The sequence below is a fragment of the Homo sapiens genome, chromosome 5, assembly GCF_000001405.40.
Source record: "Homo sapiens chromosome 5, GRCh38.p14 Primary Assembly".
In the NCBI taxonomy this organism is placed as follows: Eukaryota; Metazoa; Chordata; class Mammalia; order Primates; family Hominidae; genus Homo; species Homo sapiens.
In genome coordinates, this window is record NC_000005.10 from 58490749 (window position 1) to 58497597 (window position 6849).

General features: G+C 36.1%; 1 protein-coding gene across 6 annotated transcripts; it reads left to right on the forward strand.

The window, feature by feature from the left end:
• Positions 1–686: 686 nt before the first annotated feature.
• Positions 687–6342, forward strand: GAPT (GRB2 binding adaptor protein, transmembrane). Of its 6 annotated transcripts, none has more exons than NM_001304429.2 (3): positions 687–793; positions 2871–3090; positions 3499–6342. In NM_001304429.2, the coding sequence occupies exon 3, from the start codon at positions 3789–3791 to the stop codon at positions 4260–4262; it is 474 nt and encodes a 157-aa protein (NP_001291358.1). In that variant the 5' UTR covers positions 687–793; positions 2871–3090; positions 3499–3788; the 3' UTR covers positions 4263–6342. The 6 variants fall into 6 exon arrangements, with proteins under 6 accessions (NP_001291358.1, NP_689900.1, NP_001291360.1 ...); NM_152687.4 differs by having other exon boundaries at positions 2871–2935; NM_001304431.2 differs by having other exon boundaries at positions 2963–3090.
• Positions 6343–6849: the final 507 nt, after the last annotated feature.

The following is a 6849-nucleotide window of genomic DNA, read 5'->3' on the forward strand; positions in this document are numbered from 1 at the left end:
GTGCTAGGAACATACTGACTACTATTATTAAGCAAAGTTAAACAATTTCTTTTTCTTATTTGGTTTTATTTTGTTTGCTGGCTGTAAGACTGCTGAGAGCCTTTAGCATGCTGATGTACCCATGAATCTCCAGGGAAGCAGTATTCCCCACATTTACTTGATGGAAGAGCTGCTAGCATATCTCAGGGGTAATGGGCCTCAAAACATACCTTAGGAAATTCCTATTTATAAATTTAAAAGAACGTTAACATTTTCCAAACCCAAATTGGGACACTGATTTGACCTGTATGGCTATAACTTGGGAGCATTGGTACATAATATTAATATTTGAAGAGAGGACTGGTCTAGCAACACAAGTAAATAATAATAATAATAATAAAAGCCCAAGACCTATGTGTTACTACAATTAAAATATTTCTTTTTTTAAAAAATCAAAGTACAAGTGAAGTGACTTTTATTGATATTAAAGTGGGAACTGCAAATATGGCCCAAATAAAAAACCATGTAGGCTTTACGTATTATTTTCTGACACAGTTAAAAAACTATTACTTGACAAAGATGAAGGGCCAGACTTCCTTATTCAAAACCTCACGCCATTTATCTTAATTCTGCTGCATCTGATACTGACTTCCTCTAGAGCCAGGAAACTTTGCAAGTATTAAATAGCGTGAACGAAGGAGGGAAAGAAGGAAGTAACCCACCAAAGTGAAAAAGAGGAACAAGTTCTAACCCAATGCAGGTTTAAAACATAACCAAAAGAACAAAAGAGAGAGCTTGACACACCAATCTTGAGGTAAGTAAGAACCTGATTTAAGGTATTTGGATGATTAAACACTATAAGAAACAAGTTTGTCTTTAATTAATCAATGATTTTTATCTTACTACAGTTTTTAGAAAAAAATGCCTTACGTAGCTGTAAGGGGGAAACCCAATTTACAAACTGAGAGTGATGTTAATGTTTCTTTACAATATGATTATGCTTTGCTGTTACCTTGTTTCCAAACAGCAGGGCATTCTCTTACTTGAAAATTCCTGAAGTTTCTCAACAATTTGCGATTTTAAGAAAAATGTCAAATTGTTAGGTAACCTGTTGGAACTGCTTTCCAAAATGAAAACAGAGTCTTCTTTCAAACTGGTCAAAGTGAACATTATTTAAGTGTTAAACTATATTTGAATGGTTATTGTTTAAAATATGTTTTTCATTATAGTAGGTCTTTGTTCATGTCTCACAGGTTTTTTCCTCTAATGTTATTTCGAAGAAAATGATGCATTTCTTTTTCTGTAAAAAGTCTTCTTGTCTTTATCTTGGTAAATATCTCTTAGACAAACAATTTTAATATTTTGGATGTACCAGAATTTCTACTCTACATAGAATAACATAGATGGTAAAAATGCCTTTTCTTCTTAAAAATTAAGAGAGTAATTTATTGCCTTATCCTCAGCTACAGAAGTGACAATAGTTAGCCTTCCTCAACCCTCACCGTGACTTCTGTTGCAGGCCTAGTATCTTTCAAAAAGTTGATTAATTTCAATCAATACTTAAAGTGTATTTTGTAAATTTATTTCAAATATTCTGGCAAATAACTTCTTAAATCATTAACCATGTATACCATAAAATATCTTGCAGATAATTGGTGCTCATCTGTTTCAGACAGGAAATGAGGTCCTAATGATTAAAGTCATTTGGCTAAACTTTTGTCCTTGAACACAAGCACGGCTGGCCTTATAAAGGAGGGACCCTGCAGATTGTAAATCTTATGTGGCGGACCATACAGTTCTCAACCTCAATATTACTCCCAAAAATTCCAAGGAGATTAAAATGTTTCTGCATCTGGGGTGCTTGTCCCTGTATTTTTATCAAAAAATTGTATAAATTAGCTGCACATCTTATTTAATTTTCTTTTATGAAATGTCAAATTAAATATTTGCATATTAATATATTCTAACCTTGGACAAATTTATGAACGTTCATTACCATTAAACTTTTCATGAAAACTCACTGAAAGCAGAGCACCACTTTGTGAATTTCTATTTTTCTTCTCATTGTTACTATTATTATCCCATAAGGAGATTACTTCATTCATTAACAAATGTCTAATAGATTAGTCATTCTGTGTCTAATGCTGGTGTTGGTAATACAAAGGTAAATAATATATGATTTCCAACCTTCGAGAACCTCAGAGCTAATCAAGCTATACAAATTTTCTGACTGATGCACTTAGTAGCATGTTACAGATATTTGGATAAATAATATTTTGGGGAAATTTTTACCTGAATTCTCATTCAGTCACATTTTGGTTGTAAGGAAGTTACTTAACTTCTTTAAGCCTCTCTTCTTATCTATAAAATGGTGATATGAATAGTACCCACTACATATAGCAGCTATAGGATTAAATGAGATAATCCCTGTAACAGTTTTTAAAAGCTGAAACTCTTAACTAAACATTATTGATGATAATAACATTCCATAGATGATAATAATCATTTCACAGGCACTGTTGGATCTATGTCTATGTCTAGACTGAAAATATACAGTAATAATGTTTTGTTGATAAAATCACAATGGAACATGCAGCCCAGTTGAACACTTCCCCTTCTTGTCTCCTTGCCATTTTAAAGCATCAACAGAAAACAATGTAAAATCATCTTGCATGGAAGTTATTTTCTGAAAGCTATGAGAAAACCTGTGATACTAAGGATTTTGAAAATACATTGGTTTACTTTAAAGATCTCATTTCATGTTTTAAGTATAAACTACACCCTTGAGTTTTAAACTATCATCTTAAGCAATTAGATGCTGACATTTGCAGTCATTTTTAAATGCATTATTTCATTCAATAAATATTGATTGGATGCATTTTCTGTGCTAGGTGTTGTGCCATTCTCTGGGAACATACAGATGAAATGACCTGAACCCTGCCCACCATTTAACCAAGTAAGAATACAATTCTCTCTCATTTAGGTTATCACGCTATAATAGAGAATGGACTCATTAATATGGGATTACAGAGGAAGGAATGGTTAAGAAAAAGACATGGCCTCTGACTGCTCCAAAAAAGGATAAGCAGGGCTTCACAGAAGAGGTGACAGGTAATAAAGATGATTGCACGTGTCTGTATATGTCCCTTTTTTTCTATTGTGCTCAGAACATTATCTTTCACTCAAAAATTGTTATCCTAATTGTCAAAAACTATGTGGAGATCTAAGTGATAAAACCACTCAGGGTTGGGCAGGGACAGGATTTTTCTAACTCTTTTTCCTTTCATCACAACGGGTAGTATATTTTATATTAAAAGCAGAAGCTCACTATATGCTGGTGTTTAATGCATTGGTGAAAATCAGTAATTTTTCTATGTTAGATAATAAGTATGCAATTAACATATTTTTAATTTATAGCAGGTTTCTGGATGGCAGATCATTCAACCTTCTTTTTCTTGAGTTTTCTACTCTGCTGTCATCTTCCACTCATTTCTGCTTCATTTTGTGATTCGTTAACAGAAAAGGAAGTGGAATGGAATAAAATCCCCCAATACAGTACAATTATACATTAATGGCTGTAATGTGAAGAGCATCACACACGAAGAGAGCCATCTTCCAGAAATAAGTTTATACACTCTCTCCTCTAATTGCATCAGGACTTTACCAGATAATGTTCTTCCAGATCTGAAAAGGAAAATGCCTAAAAGAGCTTCCAAACTCATTTTTGAATAATACTAGGCTACAAAGAATTACACTGTGAATTCATTAAGGGTAACACCAAATCACTAAACAGCACTGTTTGTACAGAAATGTCGAAAAGCTGTGGAAATAATTTAGCGGCCATTTCTGTAGGAATTTCGCTTCTTTTACTCTTAGTGGTTTGTGGAATTGGGTGTGTTTGGCACTGGAAACACCGTGTTGCCACACGATTTACCTTACCGAGGTTTTTACAAAGGAGAAGCAGCAGGAGAAAAGTCTGTACTAAAACATTCTTGGGCCCCCGCATCATTGGCTTAAGGCATGAAATCTCAGTTGAAACCCAAGACCACAAATCTGCTGTCAGGGGAAATAACACACACGACAACTATGAAAATGTGGAAGCAGGTCCTCCCAAAGCTAAAGGAAAAACCGATAAGGAACTATATGAAAACACAGGGCAGTCTAATTTCGAGGAGCATATCTATGGAAATGAGACATCTTCTGACTATTATAACTTCCAGAAGCCTCGTCCTTCTGAAGTTCCTCAAGATGAAGATATATACATTCTTCCAGATTCATATTAGCTTTTCAAAATATTGACTTTTGTTATTGGATGATAAATATTCACTGTAATTTTTCAACAGCAAAGACAAGGAATCAAACTAAATGTTGATCAACTGTAGACTGGATAAAGAAAATGTGGTACACATACACCATAGAATATTATGCAGCCGTAAAAAAAGAACAAAACTAACATGGGAACAGAAAATCAAATACCACATATTCTCACTTAAAAGTGGGAGCTAAATAATAAGAACACATGGAGAGAAGGAGAGGAACAACAGACACTGGGGCCTACTTGAGGGAGGACAGTGGAAGGAGGGAGAGGTTCAGGGAAAAAAAAAATATCAGGTACTATGCTTAGTACACACATGATGAAATAATCTGTACACCAAACCCCCAAGTCACAAGTGTTCCTACATAACAAACCTGAACATGTACCCCTGAACATAAAATTATAATTAAAATATTAAAAATAATTCACTGTGATTTTTATTGTACTGATGCCATTCTTAATCAAGTTCTGATAAGTGGATGGTCTCTGCCTATCTCCACCTTTCTGAATCCTATGTGTATCGCTGTGGATTAATTCTAGATATCTTCTCCACCCTCCTTGCACCAGACTAAATCTGTATTATGTGATATTGATTCTTCCTTCTAAATATTACCCGTTATCTCTTTCCTTTATTTCTACCATTATCTTTATCTGGCTCAGAATTATTGTCATAGGCTCCTAACTGTTCCTCCTGCTTCTAGTTTCTACCCACTCAATCAATTACCGATGGTGTTGCCAGATTTATCTTCAGAAAATATTCCTAACAGCCACATTATTTCTTTCACTTAAAATGTTTTAATGCCCCCTCTTTGCAAAAGACATAATACCCATAATTTGAACTCCAAAATTTATGGTTTTCCACAATTGGTTCCAATTCACTTTTCCAGTGACTTCTCTTACTATCTCTCATTTCTTTGCCTTCAGCAGAATCATCTTAAAACCTGCCAAACTTATCCTTCCTTCACAGCTTTGCTTTTCTGCCTCTTCTCTCAAGCCTGCTTCAGATCATAAGTTCTTCCACACATCTCCTGAATCACTCCAAACCCGCATTTACCTTTTTATTTTCTGATATAAGCTTTGATGCCTCTTCAATTCTTAGGACATTTAAACATATGAATGTTGCCACAGCATTTTATTACCTAGCTTCATATGAAAATGTCTTAAATTCCCACCTAAATGAAAAGAAACTGCCCAAATGCCTAGAACATCACATAAGGCACTAAATGCCTCATGTTTTACTGACGGGAATTGAATTGTACATTTTGCTGAGTAGTTTTGAGAAAAAAATCTAATAAATTCATCTGTTATTCATCCATACAAGGAATATTTGTTGTGTCTTCTATCTACTTGCTATTGTGCTGTGCACCTGAGGGACATGGGTTGGTGGAGGGGTTACAAAATTAAAAAGAGAGACATGGATCCTGAACACATACAGTCTAGTAGGAAAGAAAACATAGTAAACAAATGAATACGATGCTGCTCATGAAGCTATGATAGCTCATCTCTAAATCCACTCTTTTATTTGCTCCTCTGAATTGCTTGACCTGGGCCTCTGCAAACATTTCTTTTGCCAGGTGGATCCATTCTATTCTCTACCAATAGGGGGCACTAAGGAAGACCGAAAGGCAGTAGGAGGCAACAGGGAATTGCTCCTGCCTATTCTTTCTGTTGCCCCCGCAGGAATTTATTGCCATGTGGTTTACTCCAGCATCACTGGTTGTTTGCAGCTTTCTAGTTTCTTCCATCATTCCCAGGACCAGCTTCTCTGCAACCTGTCAGAAGCACCAGCACCAGCCAGGTGGCACCCTCCCTTAGACTCTGACAGCCAGACTCTCCTTCAACCTCCTGAAGTGGTGCAGGAGACAAGTGGTACCCTCAGAGTTCTGCGTCCCAGCCTGGCAGGGCTCCTCCTCTGAGGTCTGGTAACTCTCAGCCAAGATTGTTACAGTTACTATCTCTGTGGTACCTGTGTCCCCTTTTTTGTTTTTCCATCCTGCCAATGCCTGTTTAGCCAATTATCTATATTAAATTCTCTCTGTTAAAACAAATTGATATGGTTTCTGTTTTCTAAGTGTACCCGGGATGATACATATCAAAATGGTAGTAGGTGCTTTATAAAAAATTCTTTCTGTTTTTGAAACCAATGGGGTTGGGTAGGAGAGACTGTTTTAATTTTAATAGGGTGGTCAAAGGAGGCCTCACTGGAGACCATTTAAGCTGAGACTTGAAGGCAGAAGGAAGCTATAATAAATGTGATGGGCAGAGAGTAAGAATGGGACCCACCCGTGAAAAGAATCTGGGGCCTAAGAGAATTTATGGTGCTCTAGGAAGCCATTGTGGCTGGAGTTTCCTGAGGAAGGGTTGGAGTGACACCTGCTGCGTTGGTGAAGGAGGGAATGGGAGACCATGAGCTTCTCATAAGTCTTAGTACGTGGCTTTGACTCTATTATAGGTGCAACGGGAATCAGTAAAGGGTTTTAAGCAGAGACGTGATGATGACACTAGCATTTTTAAAAGATTTACTGGGTTGAGAAGTGACTGGAAAGAGGCCAAAA